The 21,729-nt window shown below is 47.1% G+C and overlaps 1 protein-coding gene across 3 annotated transcripts, besides 3 other annotated features; it reads left to right on the forward strand.

The window, feature by feature from the left end:
• Window positions 9,922-10,461: an enhancer, noted in NCBI's record as "H3K27ac hESC enhancer chr19:58280768-58281307 (GRCh37/hg19 assembly coordinates)". NCBI's record gives its function as "activates a minimal SCP1, AML or CMV promoter by ChIP-STARR-seq in naive H9 embryonic stem cells {active_cell/tissue: H9 hESC(naive)}" and the evidence as "EXISTENCE:reporter gene assay evidence [ECO:0000049][PMID:30033119]".
• Window positions 10,183-10,432: an enhancer, noted in NCBI's record as "active region_15158". NCBI's record gives its function as "activates an Ori minimal core promoter by ATAC-STARR-seq in GM12878 lymphoblastoid cells {active_cell/tissue: GM12878}" and the evidence as "EXISTENCE:reporter gene assay evidence [ECO:0000049][PMID:35858748]".
• On the forward strand, window positions 10,198-21,138 carry ZNF586 (zinc finger protein 586). 3 transcript variants are annotated; one of them, NM_001204814.2, is made up of 4 exons: window positions 10,198-10,400; window positions 15,288-15,337; window positions 17,065-17,191; window positions 19,273-21,138. In NM_001204814.2, the coding sequence occupies exons 3-4, from the start codon at window positions 17,158-17,160 to the stop codon at window positions 20,316-20,318; spliced, it is 1,080 nt and encodes a 359-aa protein (NP_001191743.1). In that variant the 5' UTR covers window positions 10,198-10,400; window positions 15,288-15,337; window positions 17,065-17,157; the 3' UTR covers window positions 20,319-21,138. The 3 variants fall into 3 exon arrangements, with proteins under 3 accessions (NP_001191743.1, NP_060122.2, NP_001070894.1); NM_017652.4 differs by lacking the exon at window positions 15,288-15,337; NM_001077426.3 differs by lacking the exons at window positions 15,288-15,337; window positions 17,065-17,191.
• Window positions 16,364-16,413: an enhancer, noted in NCBI's record as "active region_15159". NCBI's record gives its function as "activates an Ori minimal core promoter by ATAC-STARR-seq in GM12878 lymphoblastoid cells {active_cell/tissue: GM12878}" and the evidence as "EXISTENCE:reporter gene assay evidence [ECO:0000049][PMID:35858748]".
• Window positions 21,139-21,729: the final 591 nt, after the last annotated feature.

Below are 21,729 nucleotides of genomic sequence, written 5' to 3' on the forward strand. Positions count from 1 at the left end.
AGACCTGATCAGTGCAGGGCGTTCTTGCCGATAAGTTGGGGATGGTTGGACCTGAGCACCTCTTGGTCAGCTGGCCTCTCCCAGGGCTCCAGGCTACCCACACCTGCTTGCAGTGCGACCTCGGTTGCCCAGGTGGGGTCCCTTATGGGGGTGTACATCATAGCTCCTGTGCTGGTGAACTGCAGTTGATAAATCCCATAGTCGTGCAACAGCCCACCTGCACCTTCCCAAAACTGCGGCCTCTCTGAGACACTTTGCCTGCATGCATTCACCTATGGCCACCCCCGACGTTGCTTTGCCAGCATATGTGCATGCAAGTGGACCTTGCCTTCTCTTTTCCACCAGCATGCGTGTGCATGTGCACCCTGTCATGCTACAGCTGCCAGTGTGAGCACACCTCATCCCCCCAACTTTTCGCTGCACCACCATTGCTGTCAGAGCATTTGCGATCCCAGAGACTGCCAGCCCGCACCTGCCAGCACCCCACCCCTGGACCAGCACAAAACTACACAGACGAGCAGACACACTCCACTCACCAGTATCAGCTGCTACCCACGTGAATGCATGCACAGAGGGTACAAACAGTCCTGCACCTGCCAGCACCTTGCCTCCATATTAACTCCACTGCTGGTGTGAATGTGTACTGGGACATCAATGGAACCCCCTTCCCTACCCCCCCATGTTGTGCTGCCACCACCAGCACTGTGAACACTCACGTGGAGGCTGGCACCCCTACACCCACCAGCACTCCATCGCAGCCAATAAACGTACACCCCACCACTGCCATTGCTGCTGGCATGTGGGAACAAGGATGGATCCTGCTGCCACCACCCTAAGCACTGGGGCTGGCACTGCCCTTCAGAGTGTTGTTACCAATAGTCTGGGAACAACTTGACCCTCCAGCATGGCAGGTTTCTGACCTCCAGGGATCATAGGACAAAGCTGGATGCCTGATACCAGGCCCCGTGTATTAGAGCACACAGTCTAGTAGTCCTGAGCTGAGCCTTGGACCCCTAAAATGCTCCAGAAATTAAGACAGTTGACTGGAGCCACATTATACCACAAACTCTTAAGGGCACCAAAAAGGATAAAAGAAAAAGAAGTCCATCCAAAGTTCAGCAACTTCAAAGATTGAAGAAATATCAGCCAACAAAGATGAGAAAGAACCAGGGCAAGAACTCTGGTAACCGAAAAAGCCAGAGTGTCTTCTTACTTCAAAACAACCACACTAGTTCCCCAGCAGTAGTTCCTAACCAGACTGAGATGGCTGAAATAACATAAATAAAATCCAAAATATGGATAGGAATCAAGATCATTGACATACAGGAGAAAGTCAAAAACTAATCCAAGGAATCTATTGATTACAATAAAATAATACAGGAGCTGATAGACAAAATGGCCTTTATAAGAAAGAACCAGACTGACTTAATAGAGCTGAAAAATGCTCTACAAGAATTTCATAATGCAATCACAAGAATTAACCGCACTGTGGGAGGCCAAGGTGAGCAGATCGGTTGAGGCCAGGAGGTTGAGACCAGCCTGACCAACATGGCAAAACCCTGTCTCTACTAAAAAAATAATAATAATACAAAAAATTAGCCAGTTGTGGTGGTATGTGCCTGTAGTCCCAGCTGTTTGGGAGGCTGAGGCATGAGAATTGCTTGAACCCAGGAGGCAGAGGTTGCAGTAAACCGAGATTGCACCACTGAACTCCAGCCTGGGTGACAGAGTGAGATTCCGTCTCAAAAATAAAAATCAAAAAAAGAGAGAATGCTGAATATGGGATCCAGTCTCTTTTGTCTTGTAGGATTTCTACTGACAGGTCTGCTGTTAGCCTGACAGGGTTCCCTTTATAGGTGACCTGTCCCTTCTATCTAGCTGCCTTTAATATTTTCTGTTTCATTTCGACCTGGAAGGATCTGATGACTATGTGTCTCAGGGATGGTCTTCTTTGTAGTATTTTGCAGGGGTTCTCTGCATTTCCTGAATTTTAATGTTGGCCTCCCTAGCGAGGTCGGAGAAATTTTCATGAGTGATATCCTGAAATATGTTTTCCAAGTTGCTTGGTTTCTCTCCCTGTCTCTCAGGCATGCCAAAGAGTCATAGGCCACTTTATATAATCCCATATTTCTTGAAGGTTTTCTTCTGTGTTGTTTTTTCTTTTCTTTTCTTTTTTTTATTTTGAGACTGAGTCTTGCTCTTGTCGCCCAGGCTGGAGTGCAATGGCGCAACCTCGGCTCACTGCAACCTCTGCCTCCCTGGTTCAAGCAATTCTCCGGCCTCAGCCTCCCGAGTAGCTAGGATTACAGGCGCCTGCCACCACGCCCAGCTAATTTTTGTATTTTTAGTAGAGATGGGGTTTCGCCATGTTGGCCAGGCTGGTCTCAAACTCCTGACCTCTTGATCTGTCCGCCTTGGCCTCCCAAAGTGCTGGAATTACAGATGTGAGCGACCGCACCAGGCCTGTTTTTTATTTTCCCTGAGTTGTTTCAGAGAGCCGGCCTTCATGCTCTGAGATTTTTTCCTCAACTTGGTCAATTCTTGTTTTTTTTTTTTTTCTTTTTTTTTTTTTTTGAGATGGTGTCTCACTCTATCGCCCAGGCTGGAGTGCAGCGGTGTGATCTCAGCTCACTGCAAGCTCCACCTCCCGGGTTCATGCCATTCTCCTGCCTCAGCCTCCCGAGTAGCTGGGACTACAGGCGCCTGCCACCACGCTTGGCTAATTTTTTTGTATTTTTAGTAGAGACAGGGTTTCACCATGTTAGGCAGGATGGTCTTGAACTCCTGACCTTGTGATCCACCTGCCTTGGTCTCCCAAAGTGCTGGGATTACAGGCATGAACCAATGCGCCCGGCTCAACTTGGTCAATTCTGTTAATTCTTTTTTTTTTTTCTTTTTTTTGAGACAAAGTCCCACTCGTGAGGTCTGGATCAAGACCGCTTTTCGGGTGACAGTGTCAATTGTCTACAGACTTAGGGAAAATTTTAATGGCCACACCAGTACAGATACAGGTGGCTCCAAATAAACCACTTCCCAATATTAAACAGTATTCATTGAAGCAGGAAGCTATAAGCTGGGTACGGTGTTGCACACCTGTAGTTTTAGCCTCTGTAAGCAGACAGGGAGGATCTCCATGGATTATAGGAATATAATCAACTTGAGCAATTACCCTGTTTTACAGCCTCCTCCCCTTCTGCCTGTACCTCTCCAAACCATGGTTTGAATGCAGTCACCTTGTTGGGCTAAAACAGCTCCTGACAGACCCCAAGCAGTGTAGATGAACCCAAGTTAACTTTCCTTATTAACATGCTGAAGTCTCCACTCTGGAAGGAGCTATAGCTTCATTACCATAACATGCTTTCTATGTGCTGGTATGACTCACTGCATCTGTGCAACTGGGACCCCAATTCTACATGCACTGATGCACCTTCTCCCATCACCATTATACCATAAAACTCTCCTGTTACTTGTCCTCAGGGAGACACTGCTTTGGAGAATACTCCCAGTGTCCTCTTTACTTGAGCCAAGTAATAAAAGTATTGATCAATACCTGTGTTCTCTGGCCGGGCGAGGTGGCTCGTGCCTGTAATCCCAGCACTTTGGGAGGCTGAGGCGGATGGATCACCTGAGGTGAGGAGTTCAAGAGCAGCCTGGCCAACATAGTGAAACCTTGCCTCTACTAAAAATACAAAAATTAACTGGGCATGATGGTGGGTGCCTGTAATCCCAGCTACTCCAAAAGCTGAGGCAGGAGATTCACTTCAACTGGGGAGGCGGAGGTTGCAGCGAGCCAAGATCCCGCCATTGCACTCCAGCCTGGGTGACAAGAGTGAAACTCCGTCTCAAAACAAACAAACAAACAAACAAAAACCTGTGTTCTCATGGAAAGTCATTTGTTATGCACCAGGTGAATGAACCTGGTATTTTTCAGGTAACACTACTCAGGATGCTGAGGCAGGAGGATCCCTTGAGCCCAGGAATTTGAAGCCACCCTGGGCAACATAGGGAGACATCATCTCAAAACAAGAAGCTATAATAGGAATAAAACAAATAACCAAAGATTACCTTGAAAAGGGATTGATTATCCCTTCCACCAGTCCTAATAGTCCCATCTTCCTGACACAAAACCTCACAGGAAAGGATGAAGATTTATACAAGATTTGAGAACTATTAATACTACTGTGATTCGGCCGGGCGCAGTGGCTCACACCTGTAATCCCAACACTTTGGGAGGCCGAGGCGAGCAGATCACGAGGTCAGGAGATCGAGACCATCCTGGCTAACACGGTGAAACCCCGTCTCTACTAAAAATAGAAAAAAAATTAGCCAGGTGTGGTGGCGGGTACCTGTAGTCCCAGCTACTCGGGAGGCTGAGGCAGGAGAATGGTGTGAACCTGGGAGGCGGAGCTTGCAGTGAGCTGAGATCACTCCACTGCACTCCAGCCTGGGCAACAGAGTGAGACTCTGTCTCAAAAAAAAAAAAAATACTACTGTGATTCCTCATCAACCAGTAGTTCTAAACCCCCACACTCTTTTATCCAATGTACATGTAAACTGTGAATATGTCACTGGTGTTGATTTATGCAGTGCTTTTTAGGCATACCAATACACCCTGACAGTATTTGTTTGCCTTTACCTAGATTGGATATCAATATATCTGGACTGTTGTGCCTCAAGGTTACACCAAAAGCCCAACTTATTTTTCACACATATTAAAGGCTGACCTAGCTGAGCTAAATTTCTCTTGTTATGCTTCTCCAATCTGCATAATTATAAAAAGGACTCCTTGCACTTCCTGGAACAAAAAGCAAAAAGAGGTCATAAGCTGTCTACAGAAAAACTCCAGTTTTGCTTTATGAGCTATCTACAGAAAAACTCCAGTTTTGCCTTACAGAACTAAAATATTTGGAACAATTAATTCCTAGGGAGAAACTACAGATACATCTGGATTGAGTAACCGGACTTCTTGGATACCCTACTCCAAAAAGTAAAAGACAGCTTTGGCCAGGCACGGTGGCCCACGCCTGTAATCCTAGCACTTTGGGAGGCTGAGGTGGATGGATCACCTGAGGTCAGGAGTTCGAGACCAGCCTGACCAACATGAAGAAACTCCGTCTCTACTAAAAATACAAAATTAGCCAGGTGTGGTGGTGCATGCCTGTAATCCCACCTACTCGGGAGGCCGAGGCAGGAGAATTGTTTGAACCTAGGAGGCAGAGGTTTCAGTGAGCCGAGGTCGCAGCATTACACTCCACCCTGGGCAACAAGAGCGAAACTCCATCTAATAAACAAACAAACAAAAAAAAGACAACAGGATTTTAGGCTTGGCTGACTACTGTCATAGCTGGATGTCCAATTTTTCTCTAATGCCACAGACTTTATATGCATTGTAGAAAGATCAGCCTAACCTCATACACTGGACATCAGAAGGACAAATAATAAATAAAGAAAAATCTTACAAGCCCCCGCTTTGGCCCATGCAAATTATTAGCTGCTGTTTTTCCTTTCTTTGTTTTTTGCGATTTTTTGTTCATGTAAGGCATGGCAGTTCCCTGGGTGTTCTAATTGAAAAACCTGGAGGACAATGTAGGGCTATTGGTTATTATAGTCAGCAATTAGACCATGTAGTACATGGGTGACCTCTTTGTCTGAGGGCCATTTTTGCCACTGCCATGCTCCTTACGATTACTCAGAAAATTGTAATGGAGGCTCCTCATTCTATAGAAGCTCTTTTGAATTCACATAATACACAGCAATTTTCCATTAATAGATTGGTTTCTTATGACAAACTTACACTGTCTGCTTCATATGCTGCCCTCTCTATCTGTAATACTCTTAATCCTGCAGTGCAACTTCCTGAAACAACAGATGAAATATTTCATCACTGTATTCTACTCACAGAATTGGTGTCCAGACAGGATTTATAGGACACATCATGTAAAAATGTTGATATTATCTGGTTCACAGATGGATCGGATCTAAAGGATACATTTTGAAAATACTGAGCAGGCTACAACCTTGTGTCTCTTGTGGACATCAGAAAGAGCAATCCCACCGGGTGCGGTGGCTCATGCCTGTAATCCCAGCACTTTGGGAGGCTGAGGCGGGCGGATCACAAGTTCAGGAGTTCAAGACCAGCCTGGCCAATATGGTGAAACCCCGTCTCTACTAAAAATACAAACATTAGCCGGGTGTGGTGGCAGGCGCCTGTAGTCCCAGTTACTTGGGAGGCTGAGGCAGGAGAATCGCTTGAACCTGGGAGGCAGAGGTTGCAGTGAGCCTAGACTGCGCCACTGCACTCCAGCCTGGGCAACAGAGGGAGACTCTGTCTCAAAAAAAAAAGCAAAAAAAAAAAAAAGCCATCACTTGCCTCAAGTAAAATCAGCACAGCTAGCTGAATTAACAGCACTCACCAGTTTGTCAACTGGCCAAAAATCAAATGGATAATATTTATACTTAAAGGTATTATGCTATTGGTGTAGCTCATGACCTTGGGATGTTATGGAATCAGGCTTTTTTTTTTTGATACAGAGGCTTGCTCTGTTGCCCAGGCTGGAGTGTAGTGGTGCAATCTTGGCTCACTGCAACCTCCTCCTCCCGGGTTCAAGCAATTCTCCTGCCTCAGCCTCCCGAGTAGCTGGGATTACAGGCGCTCGCCACCACCCCCGGCTAATTTATTTATTTATTTATTTTTTAGATGGAGTCTCGCTCTGGCTGGAGTGCAGTGGCGCAAACTCGGCTCACTGCAAGCTCCGCCTCCCGGGTTCACGCCATTCTCCTGCCTCAGCCTCCCGAGTAGCTGGGACTACAGGCACCCGCCACGGCGCCCAGCTAATTTTTTGTATTTTTAGTACAGACGGGGTTTCACCGTGGTCTCTATCTCCCGACCTCATGATCTGCCCACCTCGGCCTCCCAAAGTGCTGGGATTAAAGGCATGAGCCACCATGCCTGGCCAATTTTTGTATTTTTAGTAGAGACAGGTTTTCACCATGTTGGTCAGGCTGGTCTCGAACTCCTGACCTCATGATCCGCCCCCCCACCCCCCACCCCCCCACTGTCCCCCAAAGTGCTAGGATTACAGGCATGAGCCACTGTGCCTGGCCAGTGAGGTTACTTAACCTCCCCCAGATATCTAATTAAACATGGCTCTCAAGTTTCTGATCATTTAGAAGCCATCCGATTATCAAAAAAGAATGTTTTATTAACGTTCCTGAACATTCAAACTCACCTCTCCAAAGAGTAAAAAAAAATTATTTCGCAGATGCAGCAGCAAAAAGACTCTCTTGACACCAATATCACATGAAACTATAAAAGTCACTACATTCAAAATAAGTGCCATTGAACAGGAACTCCAAGGGATTCAAAAAGAGGCTTCAGATAAGAAAAAGTAGATATGGCTAACAAAGCGGTAATGCTTTTCCCCCATTTACAAATTTTGGTGTGGACCCAACAGGAGACCCATCTTGCCTTTGAGATTTCAATTTCTTATGGTACAACATGTTTATGAGCCAACTCACGGGAAATCTGAGAAAATGATTGTTTGGGGAAAGAAATACTACTGGAAACCCTCACCTCCATTACTGAATAAAGTTTACACTAAATATCCAATTTAATTTATACAAAGCATAATCCAAGAAAGCTTTTTTTTTTTTTTTTTTTTGAAACGGAGCCTCACTCTGTCCTCTGTCACCCCGGCTGGAGTGCAGTGGCGCGATCTTGGCTCACTGCAGCCTCCGCCTCCTGGGTTCAAGTGATTCTCCTGCCTCAGCCTCCTGAGTAGCTGGGATTACAGGCATGCGCCACCACACCCAGCTAATTTTTCTATTTTCAGTAGAGACGGGGTTTCACTATGTTGGTGAGGCTGGTCTCGAATTCCTGACCTCGTGATCCGCCCACCTCTGCCTCCCAAAGTCCTGGGATTACAGGCATGAGCCACCGCACCCGGCCAACTTTTTTGTTTGTTTGTTTGTTTGTTTGTTTGAGACGGAGTCTCGCTCTGTCCCCCAGCCTGGAGTGCAGTGGCGTGATCTCGGCTCACTGCAACCTCCGCCTCCCGGGTTCAAGCCATTCTCCTGCCTCAGGCTCCGGAGTAGCTGGGACTACAGGCGCCTGCCACCACGCCCAGCTAATTTTTTTGTATTTTTAGTAGAGACGGGGTTTCATCATATTAGCCAGGATGGTCTCGATCTCCTGACCTCGTGATCCGCCCGCCTCGGCCTCCCAAAGTGCTGGGATTACAGGTGTGAGCCACCGCGCCCAGCCAACTTTTTTTTTAAGTATAGAAAATTTTACAGGTTGGGCGCGGTGGCAGGCGCCTATAATCCCAGCTGCTCGGGGGGCTGAGACAGGAAAATCACTTGAACTTGGCCAAGAGGCGGAGGTTGCAGTGAGCCGAGATCGCAGCAATGCACTCCAGCCTGGGTGACAGAGCGAGACTCCATCTCAAAAAAAAAAAAAAAAAAAGAGGTGGAGATTTCCCAGAACTGAGGTTCCCTCCCCTTTTTAGACTATATAGGGTAACTTCCAAACATTGCCAGGGCATTGGTATACTGTCATGGCGCTGGCGGGAGTTAGTATGCTAATGCATTATAATTAGCGTATAATGAGCAGTGAGGATGACCACAGGTCACTTTCATCACCATCTTGGTTTTGGTGCGTTTTAGCCAGCTTCTTTACTGCATCCTGTTTTATCAGCAGGGTCTTTGTGACCTGCATCTTGTGCCAACCTCCTATCTCATCCTGTGACTAAGAATGCCTAACCTGGGAATGCAGCCGAGTATTTCTCAGCCTTACTTTATCCAGCCCATTTTCAAGATGGAGTCACTCTGATTCCAATGCCACTGACAATGATAAGCACTTGCCAGCAAAGAGGTGAACGCATGGATTTAAGGCACTTGAAATATCTCAGTGTAAAAGCACCCTGTGCATGTAGCAGGACGAGCCGCAGACAAAACCTCTCAGACACCGAGTTGCAGAAGGAAGGGCTTTATTCAGCTGGGAGCATTGGCCAGCTACTGTCTCAAAATCTGAGCTCCCGGAGTGCACAATTTCTGTCCCTTTTAAGGGCTCACAACACTAAAGATTTCACATGAAAGGGTCGTGATTGATTTGAGCAAGCAAGGGGTATGTGACAGGGGCTGCATGCACCGGTGGTCAGGGAGGAACAGAACAGGGCAGGGAGTTTCACAATGTTCTTCTATACAATCTAAGGAATCTATGAATAACATCGGCTTCTAAATCATAAGTTGATTTTTAACTACTGGGTTTAGGCCAGGCGGGCCTAGGCCTGGTTTCGGGCCTGGCGCGGGGTTGCCTGTCTTTGGTTTTACTTCCTTGTTGTTTTTACTGAATATAAAACAATGTGAGAGGGTCTCTCTCTTCTCTCATGCATACATACTCCATGTTTGAACACCGCAGCCATTGTCCTGTAACATAATAGCATTTGTCTCATTAGCTTTTTGATGTTGATATCAGATTTCTAGAGGAATCTGTAGGTTAAAGATATAAATAAAAGTGTTGCTAATGGGCTGAGAACGGTGGTTCACGCCTGTAATCCTAGCACTTCGGTAGACCATTGCAGGCAGATCACTTGAGGCCAGAAGTTCGAGACCAGCCTGGCCAAAATGAGGAAACCCCGTCTCTACTAAAAATACAAAAATTAGCAGGGTATGGTGGCACACGCCTGTAATCCCAGCTACTCGGATGGTTGAGGCACGAGAATCGCTTGAACCCGGGAGGCATAGGCTGCAGTGAGCCAAGATCACACCACTGCACCCCAGCCTGAGTGACAGAGAGAACTATGTCTTAAAAAAAAGACAAAAAAAAAAAAAAAAGGAAGAAGCCGAGCATCACAAATTCTGAAATAAGAAGTCTCCAAACACGCGGGCAATCAGTTGCACACAGTACCCCCAGAAATGTGCGTATGGCCTCTTCTAAGATGGGAGACCCTCCTCCGCATCTGGACCTGGAGTCGCCATTTCCTAGCGCCCCTCGCAGTGGAGCTTGCCCCTTTCTTCGGAAAGTCGGAAGAAAGCCACCTTAAGCGCTGCCCATGTCTGGGAACTACATTACCCAGAATCCGCCCTGCGAAATGGTAACGTGGCTGAGCCAATGAAGCTTCAGAGAAGCCGTGCCATTGCCGGGGCACGTAAAGTCAAGCCAGGACTTCCGGCGTCCTAGCCGTGGCAGCCATTTTGGCCTGTCAGGTCCATCCGGCGATGCTGGGTCTGGACGAGCTCGGGAGGAGTGGTTGTGGCCATTGCACACAGGCGGATCTGAGGTTCGGCGACGCCGCTGGTCGCGACCCGGGACAGGACAACGACAGGAACACCGCCGAGCCCGCGTTCCCCCCCCGCCCAGAGTCATGGCGGCAGCAGCCGCTCTGAGGGCGCCTGCTCAGGTGAGCGCTGCGACCTCCGGGCCTTACCCACCCTACCCACCCAGACCCTGAGGCCCCTGATCGTGAGGGCCGCCTCCTCGCGTCCCTGCAGCCCAGGCCTCTGTCAGGGACGGAGAGGCGCCGGCGGGTGGGATCCCTGTTTCCGACACCCAGTTGATGCGGTCGGCAGAGCGAGACTGGCGGAGGGCAAAGGCCTGCAGGCGCGACTGAGGCAGGAGGATGCGGAACACGGGGACATCGTGTGTCTACTGGGAAAGAAGTGTGATACGGAGTTATTTCTTTTTTTTTTTTTTTTTGAGACGGAGTCTCACTCTGTCGCCCAGGCTGGAGTGCAGTGGCGCGATCTCGGCTCACTGCAAGCTCCACCTCCCCGGTTCAAGCGATTCTCCTGCCTCAGCCTCCCGAGTAGCTGGGATTACAGGCATGCGCCACCACGGGGTTTCACCATGTTGGCTAGGCTGGCCTCGAACTCCTGACCTTAGGTGATCCGCCCACCTCGGCCTCCCAAAGTGCTGGGAATACAGGCGTGAGCCACCGCGCCTGGCCGAGGCGGAGTTGTTTCTTCAGTACCAGGCTGAGGGTTGAACTTTGACTGTGAGGACGCTAAAAGCCATGGACAGTTTTGAACAAAGGAGGAAATCTGTGTTAGAGTTGCGATTCCCAAAAGATGTTCGAAGGAAGAACAGAGTTGAAGGCAGTGATGAGGACATTGAGAGGTTGAATCATTGAGAGGTGACATTGAGCACTGGGCCACAAGATTAGAGACTCAGTCTGAAGTCATCTGGCTGCAGGGCCAAAAAAAGCTTACAGAGAAGCCTGAGTCTATCAAATCCGAGCACAGACACATTTGTGAAAGCCCTGCCTTTTGGCACACCTCATGGCTACAGAAGCACTTACAGAATCCACAGTAGGAAGTAGGGGATGCTCTAGTCCTTCACTGGTCCTCATCCTATCCCACATGTCTAGATCTTGGCATCTTTTTTTTTTTTCGGCGACGGGTTCTCACTCAACACCCAGGCTGGGTTGCGGTGACGCGATCACGGCGCAGCACGGCCTCGACCTCTCCGGGCTCAGGAGAGCCTCTCATCTCAGTCTCCCGAGTAACTGGCTTTTTGTATTTTTAGTAGAGGTGGGGTTTCACGGCCGGGCGCGGTGGCTCACGCCTGTAATCCTAGCACTTTGGGAGGCCGAGGCGGGCGGATCACGAGGTCAGGAGTTTGAGACCATCCTGGCTAACACGGTGAAATCCCCCCTCTACTAAAAATACAAAAAATTAGCCAGGCCTGGTGGCACACACCTGTAGTCCCAACTACTTGGGAGGCTGAGGCAGGAGAATCGCTTGAACCCGGGAGGCAGAGGTTGCAGTGAGCCGAGATCGCGCCACTGCACTCCAGCCTGGGCGACAGAGAAAGACTCCGTCTGAAAAAAAAAAAAAAAAGAGAGAGAGAGAGATGGGGTTTCGCCATGTTGCCCAGGCTAGTCTCGAACCCTTGGGCTCAAGCAGTCCTCTTGCTTCGGCTTCCCAAAGTGCTGGGATGCCAAGCAGGAACTACCGCACCTCCTAGGACACTTAAGTGCCATTTCTCCGGTCCTTCAATCTGGGGATCTTGGAAAAACCTCAAACCCCAAACCTACATCAGTGACATAGGTTATGGGGAGTTGTTGCTATGTCTGTCAACTAATGTAACACATGTGGAGGGTTCACCCAGGAACTGATACTGGGGTGTGCAAATACTTACTTAGAAGTGAAACTAGAGGGGTGAGGTGATGTTACCAATTTCTTAATAGGCGCTGTCTGGTTACTGAGTGGGCAACAGACTGTGGGGTTGAGGGAGGAGGAAGATCAAACTGGAAGCTACTGCCCTAGTCGAGGTGAGGATTAATGGACTAGAGTTGTGGCTTAGGCAATGTGGCTAGATCTGGATTTGTGTTTTTTAGAGGGGCAAGTCAATTTTTTTTTTCCCAAGATGGAGTCTGGACCTGTTGCCCAGGCTGGAGTGCAATAGTGGAATCTTGGCTCACTGCAACCTCCGCCTCCTGAGTTCAAGCGATTCTCCTGCCTCAGCCTCCGAAGTAGCTGGGATTACAGGCGCGCGCCTCCACACCCAGCTAATTTTTGTATTTTTAGTAGAGACTAGGTTTCGCCATATTATCCAGGCTGCCTCGAACTCCTGACCTCGTGATCCACCCGCCTTGGCCTCCCAAAGTGCTGGGATTACAGGCTTGAGCCACCGTGCCCAGCCTGGCAACTCAATTTTTAAATGTGAACAGTGAGAGCTTGAGAGGATTCAGGAAACACCCCTGGGTTTTTTATCTTAGCAGCTGTAGCAATGGGAGCTGCATCAACTGAGATGAGCAAGTTGATAGCAGGTGTAATATTCACTGAGGCTATCAGGAGGTTTGTTTTGGCCATTCTGCGTGGAAAAAAATACAAATTGCTTTTGCTCTGCTCTCCCCCACAACAATCAACACAGAGTACTTCTGTGACTAGATAATGTGTGGATGGTTTTCCTCATACACCAAGTAGTTCTGCAGTGGACATCAGATCCCACAGGGTGAAGTCTCAGTCCCACGGGACTGTCCGCCAACCCCTTTCGATGCCAATCACAAGCCCCAGGATGTTTTTTTTTTTTTACCTGTCCTTTGACTGACTTGATAAAAATCAGGTTCCCATGACCCCTTCCTCGGCTTCCATTAAATTGCTAGAGCCAGTCACAGAACCTCAGGAGATGCTTTAATTTGCCAGTTTATTTTAAAGAGTATTTATTACAAAGGTTACAGATGAAGAGATGCATAAGGGGAAGCGACCCAGAGCTTTTATGATCTTCAGGCACACCACCATCCAGGAACTTCCATGTGTTTGGCTATTTGGAAGCTCCCCAGACCCTGTCTTTATGGGGTTTTATGGAGGCTTTATTACATAGGCATGATTAATTAAATCATTGGTCAATGCTGATCAGCTTAACTTTTGGCCCCCTCTCCCCTTTCTGGAGATTGGGGTATGGGGCTGAAATTTCCAGACCTCGAATCCTGACATAGTCTCTTTTCCCTGACCGGTCTCCATTCTGAAGTTATCTAGGGGTTTCCAACCATCAGTCAACTCATTGCCATTCAAAGTCACTTATAAATTTGAGAATTTCATGAATTTTAGGAGTTGCATGCCAGAAAAGGAGATGACCAAATATATATTTCACAATATCACACCCATATTAAGATTCTGAAATGTATTAGATACTACTTAGTGGAGCTATTAAATGGGCAGCTGGACACATAGATGCAAATATCTGGGGAAGCGTTGATATTGGAGGTATCTAATATATGGTAACTACTGTGTGGACTGAAATGATTGAGTCATGGCTCACATTTGGAAGGCACAACCTTCAGATTATGTTGATGACACTGTTGGACAGGAAGTAGAGTTTGGGTTTCCTGCTTGTGTACCTGGTGATGGTATTGGATTTGAGAAACACAGGTAAGGGAGGTAAATGGCCATGAAGGGAGGATACATCTGTTTCTTCTTCTTCTTTTTTTTTTTTTTTTTTTGAGACAGAGTTTTGCTTTGTCGCCCAGACTAGAGTGCCGTGGTGCAATCTCGGCTCACTGCAACCTCCGCCTCCTGGGTTCAAGTGATTCTTCTGCCTCAGCCTCCCGAGTAGCTGGGATTATAGGTGCCTGCCACCATGCCTGGCTAATTTTTGTATTTTTAGTACAGACAGGGTTTCACCATCTTGGCTAGGCTGGAAAGGGAGGATACATCTGACAGACTAGTTTGGCAAGTGACATAATGCTTCCAAGAAATGAATAGACTTGAGATGCATGCTGACGCATAGGAGTAGCTGAGGGAAGATGACACTCAGGCTGGAGCTTGTGTTTATTGGCCACTTTGTGGCCTCACCAAGATTTTGAGATGACTTTAGTGTGGCCTGGGGTGTTTGATTCAGCCTGGTGGATGTGGAGGCAAATATGGTCACCTTGTGAGAGTCACTATGCATGAGATTGATGACCAGTGGTTCTGGGCTTTGAATGGGGTTAGGTGGACAGAAGAAAGTCATAGTTGCCGGGCATAGTGGCTCACACCTGTGATCCCAGCACTGTGGGAGGCCAAGGTGGGCAGATCACGTGAGGCCGGGGGTTCGAGATCAGCGTCGCCAACATGATGAAAGCCCATCTCTACTAAAAATACAAAAAAAGTAGCTGACGTGGTGGCAGGCACCTGTAATCCCAGATATTCGGGGGCTGAGACAGGAGAATCGCTTGAACCTGGGAGGCAGAGGTTGCAGTGAACCGAGATTGTGTCATTGCACTCTAGCCTGGGTGACAAGAGTGAAACTCCGTCTCAAAAAAAAAAAAAAAAAAAAAGTCAGCCGGGCGCGGTGGCTCACACCTGTAATCCCAGCACTTTCGGAGGCTGAGGTGGGCGGATCACTTGAGGTCGGGAGTTGGAGACCAGCCTGACCAACATGGAGAAACCCCGTCTCTACTAAAAAATATAAAATTAGCCAGGCGTGGTGGCTAATGCCTCTAATCCCAGCTACTCGGGAGGCTGAGGCAGGAGAATCACTTGAACCTGGGAGGTGGAGGTTGCGGTGAGCTGAGATCGCGCCATTGCACTCCAGCCTGGGCAACAAGAGTGAAACTCCATCTCAAAAATATAAATAAATAAATAAATAAATAAATAAATAAATAAATAAATAAAAAGTCATAGTTTCTGAGGATAGCAAATGCAGCACAGAAGTGGAATAGAACCATAAATATCTGAAAATGCTAGTGGTTCTTTTTGTCTGTGGATTTATGCATGGAGGGCGTCAGAATGATTTGGGGCTACCATTGCTATTGAGAAACATTGGAATTCTGTGGTAATTTTGGATTCCTTTTTAATTTACCAAGACTACTGTGGATGATGTCAGCCACATTATGGTGTAAGCCCTAAAGTTAAGGTCAGTATCATGTGCTACCTTCATGTCTGGTGATACCAGTACTACCTCACATGGTCTGAGTGCAAATCTCCCTCCCCACTCTGCTCTTTGGGATAATGTGTCCTAGCTTAACTACCCTTTTAATCAAGAGGACTAGACAGAGTTCCTGGTTATTATTTATTTGTAGCAGGTTTCAGTTTCTTTTTTTCTTTTTTTTTTTTTTGAGACGGAGTCTCGCTCTGTCGCCCAGGCTGGAGTACAGTGGCAGATCTCATCTCACTGCAAGCTCCGCCTCCTGGGTTCATGATTCTCCCGCCTCAGCCTCCTGAGTACCTGGGACTACAGGCACCCGCCACCACACCCGGCTAATTTTTGTATTTTTAGTAGAGACGGGGTTTCACAATGTTAGCCAGGATGGTCTCGATCTCCTGACCTCGTGATCTGCCCACCTCGGCCTCCCAAAGTGCAGGGATTATAGGCGTGGGCGTGAGCCACCGCACCCAATGCAGGTTTCAATTTCATTTCTACCCACAGAGTTACTCAAGCCAGTTGCAGCTGGGTGTGGTATCGCACACCTGTGGTCCCAGCTACTCAGGAGGCTGAGATGGGAGGATTGCTGGAACCCAGGAAGTTCAGGCTGCAGTGAGCTGTGATTGTGCCACTATGCTCCAGCAGGAGTGACAGAACAAGACCCTGTCTCAAAAATTAAAAATAAAAACAAGCCAGTTGCATTCTTTTATGGGAATCAGGGACTATCACACCCTCTTGATTGAGCAAAGCTTACATACCACAATCCCTGGTTGCTCTTTTTTTTTTTTTTTTTTTTGAGACAGGGTCTTGCTCCGTTGCCCAGGCTAGAGTGCAGTGGTGCCATCTAGGCTCACTGCAACCTCCATCTCCTGGGTTCAAATGATTCTCCTGTCTCAGGCTCCTGAGTAGCTGGGACTACAGGTGCATGCCACCATACCCAGCCAATTTTTGTATTTTAGTAGAGACGGGGTTTCACCTTGTTGGTCAGGCTGGTCTCGAACTCCTGACCTCAGGTGATCCACCCGCCTCGGCGTCCCAAATTACTGGGATTACAGGCGTGCGCCACCGCGCCCGGCCACTCTCTCTTATGCATAGTGCAACCCCCATGTGGCTCTCTGTGGTGAGTGGTGTCCTCTTCTCTCAAGCGCTGAGCATATTTGATTAATGAACTTTCGTGATGACTTGTGTTCAGCGTCAGGTGTTGTGTTTGGCCATCATCATAACCCTAGGGTGAAACTCCTACTCTTTACCAGTAGAAGAAAGGGGGATTAAAATACTGTAACTTCTGGCAAGACCAGAGAGAGGCCTATAGTGTGGGCAGTTAGGTGGTGGTGGCAATTGGCATGTGTCTGTGGTGTCCAAAGATGGGAAGGATGTGTACGTACATAAGGATTATGTTTGAAAGGCCTCAGGCACTGCACTGGGATTCATGTGACCTTTGCTGTACCAGGGGAATTGCTAGAAAGGAGAGGATGGAACCCTTTATTTCAGGACCACAGCATAGATACCTGTGTGCTTATCTGCCTCTTGTTGCTGACGGCTATGTGTCATGATTAATGGTCCCATGAGGACACAGTGGCACTAGTGGGCAAAATTTCTCCTCTGAGTTGGGGATCCTGGGAGGAGGAGGATGGGCAAGGGTAGATATGTTGGGGAAGTGGACTGTGGGTCTTCAGCATAGGGGCCATTTGTGGTTTCATCTATCCCCATCATAACAGAGCAGTGTGACCTTTGAAGATGTGGCTGTAAACTTTTCCCTGGAGGAATGGAGTCTTCTTAATGAGGCTCAGAGATGCCTGTACCGTGACGTGATGCTGGAGACCTTGACACTTATATCCTCCCTGGGTAAGGTACTCATATTCACCTGTGACCTGAGTTAGTCTGTGCCCCTCACCTTTATGCCTTATCTCTTTCTCACACCAGGACCATGGACACAGCTTCATTCTCCAGTTCTCTGGAGAGGTTCTGTTGTTGGTCGGACTGAGGTGTACGTACTGCCCTGTCCTTTCCTTGAGCAGCCCCAACCTGCTTTGTTGCAGGCTTCCAGGGAAGGAGTCAGGGTCAGGAGTCTTAAAGTCACCCTAATGCCTCCCACCTTGGTTGTCCTCTGCCTGTCTGGGTGACTGTGCAGATCCAAGGCTTCTGTTTGTCTCAAGTTCCGTTTCCCTCCTTTAGTTCACATTTGTTCATGCTACGAATTGTCGTCACTGATGTGGTCATTATGTACATGAACCACAGCCTATTCTTGCAATACCCTACTTCAAAATTCTTTTTGTAGTATTTCATCAGGCACAATAACACCTGTCATCCCAGCTCTTCAGAGGCTACTCGGAGCCCAGGAGTTTGAGGCCAGCCTGGCCAACATAGCAGGTCCTCATCTCTAAAAATATATAGGAAGGAATTCTTTTTGTAATATTTAGTTTCTTTTCCTGTGGAATATCAAATGCAGAGTTGTTCTGAGCCAGCATTGGCTGTTCGTCTGTCCTATTTTTCCCTTAGTACTTACATTATCGAGTTTCCATGTAGTTGCTCATCTTGGTGGTGAAATGAAGAGCCCGTGGTTGTCCCTAAGATGTAAATGAGTCCAGCCTTAGCAAGGACTTGGGGCAGCTTGGTTCTGAAGAATAGCATGTGAGTAAGGTCATGACATCAGGGCTCTATTCAAATTATGCCATAGACCTCTTCTATTTGACTAGTATTTTCATGCCAATAGAAGTAGCCCCACTTTATGTCTTTCCTTCCCCATTCTTGAGAGTGCCAGTTTATTAGTCCTACACCTTGTTGCTTCTGCTGTTACATCCAGCCCAGGACTAATTTTCATATATCTGGACTCCACGTCTCACCTATTTTTCTCACGGCTCTGTCTGCAGTGGTCTTCAATATTGGCTCATGTATTTTGTATTACGAAGTATATACCCATTCTTTTTTTTTTTTTTTTTTTTTTTTTTGAGATGGAGTTTCGCTCTTGTTTCCCAGGTTGGAGTGCAATAGTGCGATCTCGGCTCACTGCAACCTCCGCCTCCCAGGTTCAAGTGATTCTCTGGCCTCAGCCTCCTGAGTAGCTAGGATTACAGGGGCCCACCACCACGCCCGGCTAATTTTTGGGGTATTTTTAGTAAAGATAGGGTTTTACCATGCTGGCAAGGCTGGTCTTGAACTGACCTCAGGTGATCCACGCCCCTCAACTTCCCAAAGTGCTGGGATTACAGGTGTGAGCCACCGCGCCCAGCCTCTATGGAGTATATAATCTTTTTTTTTTTTTTTTCTTGAGACAGTTTGCTCTGTTGCCCACGCTGGAGTGCAGTGGCACAGTCTAGGCTCACTGCAACCTCCGCCTCCCAGGTTCAAGCAAGTCTCCTGCCTCAGCCTCCCGAGTATCTGGTATTACAGGTGCATGCCACCACACCTGGCTAACTTTTATTTTTAGTAGAGATGGGGTTTTGCCATGTTGGTTGTTGACCAGGCTGGTCTCAAACCCCTGACCTTGTGATCCACCCACCTCGGCCTCGCAAAGTGCTGGGATTAGAGGCATGAGCCACGGTTCTCGGCCACGTATATACCTATTCTTAACAGTCCCTGACCAAAGGATGTTGTGCTCTAGTCATGTTGGGGGGGGCCTGGACATATTTATATAGTACTCACACGTCATCAGCAAATAAGGTTCCACAGGCAAGTTGTTTGCAAATGAAGGAGTTATAGACCCTGCCTTTATTCTGTCTGTTGACTCATTTAGTCATGCCCTTGACAATATGAGGCCTTCTATATCTGTGATAATGCTAAGCAGCCCCAACCTCAACCTGAACCCAACTCCCTGTTTGTGCAAATAATTCCATAGACTAGTTTTTTGGTTTGTCAGATACTCTTGTGGGTAGGCTGCATACTCAACAAAGTCAACATGTACCTCACCAGCATTTCTTTGCTTTTAGGTTGTTGGCATGGAGGGGAAGATGAGGCAGCACCTTCTAAGCAGAGCACGTGTATACATATATACAAAGACCAGGGAGGTCATAGTGGAGAAAGGCCTTATGAGTGTGGGGAATATAGGAAATTATTTAAGAACAAGTCCTGCCTCACTGAACCCAGAAGAGATCACAAACACAGGAATGTTCGCACTGGAGAAAGGCCTTATGAGTGCAGCAAATATGGGAAATTATTTCACCAAAAGCCTACACTCCATATTCATGAGAGATTTCATACTGGGCAAAAGACCTATGAGTGCAGTGAGTGTGGAAAATCATTTCACCAAAGCTCTTCACTCTTGCAGCGTCAGACACTTCACACTAGAGAAAGGCCTTATGAGTGTATTGAATGTGGGAAAGCCTTTGCTGAAAAGTCCAGTCTCATTAACCACAGGAAAGTTCACTCTGGAGCAAAGCGTTATGAATGCAATGAATGTGGGAAGTCCTTTGCTTATACATCTAGTCTCATTAAACACAGGAGGATTCACACTGGAGAGAGGCCTTATGAGTGCAGTGAATGTGGGAGATCCTTTGCTGAAAACTCCAGTCTTATTAAACACTTGAGAGTTCACACAGGAGAAAGGCCTTATGAATGCGTTGAGTGTGGAAAATCATTTCGCCGAAGCTCTTCACTCTTGCAGCATCAGAGAGTTCACACTAGAGAAAGGCCTTATGAATGTAGTGAATGTGGGAAATCCTTTAGCTTAAGGTCCAACCTCATTCACCATCAGCGAGTTCATACTGGAGAAAGGCATGAGTGCGGGCAGTGTGGGAAATCCTTTAGCCGAAAATCTAGCCTTATTATACATCTGAGAGTTCACACTGGAGAAAGGCCTTATGAGTGCAGTGACTGTGGGAAATCCTTTGCTGAAAACTCCAGCCTTATTAAACACTTGAGAGTTCACACTGGAGAAAGGCCATATGAATGCATTGATTGTGGAAAATCATTTCGCCACAGTTCTTCGTTCCGTCGCCATCAGAGAGTTCATACTGGAATGAGGCCTTATAAGTGAAGCAAATTTTGGAAATTCTCTTGCCCAGGCTTTTTGCTCCTTCAAGGCCAGAGAGTTCACACCAGATCAAGGTGTTATGAGTGTGACAAATGGGGAATATTCTTTAGCTAGAATGCTAGCTTCTTTACATAAAAGAGTGCTCCCACTGAAGAAGTGCCTTTTGAGTGCAATGAATGTGAGAAAGCCTTCAGCCCTCTCTCATTGGTTACCACAATATTTACATGAGGAAAATACCACAGATGTGGAGGTAATATTATTTTTTCTTCAATATAACACTGGAGGAAACCCCTTATGAGGATGCCATCTGCCTAAATTGAATGTCATACATCAAATAGCTGCATACATTCCAGGTATGTGGGAACTGCATAGTATTTTTCGACCTGCCCAGGTCTCTTGCTAGACTTCTGTGACTTACAGTTCTCTTCTAAAAAGCATTTCACCTTTACCACTTGGCAGGTGCCCACAGTACATCATTCGCCTAACTCATCATGATCCAGAAGTAACTTTGATTTTGTTTCATTCAACAGAGGGATTTTTTAGTATCCTCAGCACTCATTCTATTCTCATTTCTTTCTCTCCAATGAGTTAGGCCATGAACCTGACTCATTTTTGGCACAGAGGACTCTTCTGATAACTTGAAAAAATGGACTACCTTTTTCAGGGATCTTTTGGATCTCACAGAGTTCTTAAGATGGAATTTTCCAGCCTGCCAGTCATGAATCTCAGACAGCCTGCCACCTATTGCCCTGATTTGTGTTATAATAAAGGCCTTGTTGCTTAAGACACCTTCAGTCTTTGCAGGAGGGCATGGAAGCTCCAAGTGCTTTTCTCATACTTTACCCTATGCATCTCTTTATCTGCATCTTTTGTACTATTTATAATTAACCAGTAAGTTATTTTCCCTGAGTTTTATGTGCCATTCTATCAAATTAGTCAAATCCAGTTGTGGGGTCCACGGGATTTGTGGTTTATAGCTCATCAGTCAAAAGCAGAGGCTCTGGGGCTTTGATTGTCATCAGAAATGGGAGCCTCAGTCTTGGTGACTGAGTCCTCAAACTGGGGGATGTGATGCTATCTGCAGGTAGATAATGACTGAGTTGAACTGGAGGACCCCCAGCTTGTGTCCACGGGAGGATTGCTTGGTGTGTGTGGAAAACACCCTGCACATCTGGTCACAGAATTATTCCATATTGATTGTTGTTGTGTTGTGTGACAGACAATAGAGGAAAAGTTTATTTTTTTCTACACATACGCTATGGCTTCCCTTCTATTATTCCATATCTTTCAACTCCTGCCATACTATTTCTTTCTCTCCAAGTTTTTGTTCTTCCTCAGAGTTCCCATAAATGGAAAGGATACGCACTTCATTGAAATAAGAATTTCATGTTAGCCAAGTTTTCAGGATAGCCAT

Source organism: Homo sapiens, chromosome 19, assembly GCF_000001405.40.
Source record: "Homo sapiens chromosome 19, GRCh38.p14 Primary Assembly".
Lineage (NCBI taxonomy): Eukaryota > Metazoa > Chordata > Mammalia > Primates > Hominidae > Homo > Homo sapiens.

What these genes read in the sequence shown, in the direction of transcription:
- ZNF586 (NM_017652.4), top strand. Translation starts at nt 10,365, where the DNA reads ATGGCGGCAGCAGCCGCTCTGAGGGCGCCTGCTCAG. An exon ending in CTCTGAGGGCGCCTGCTCAG is followed by an intron (nt 10,401 to 17,064) that starts GTGAGCGCTGCG and finishes CCATCATAACAG; the next exon opens with AGCAGTGTGACCTTTGAAGA. An exon ending in GACACTTATATCCTCCCTGG is followed by an intron (nt 17,192 to 19,272) that starts GTAAGGTACTCA and finishes CTTTGCTTTTAG; the next exon opens with GTTGTTGGCATGGAGGGGAA.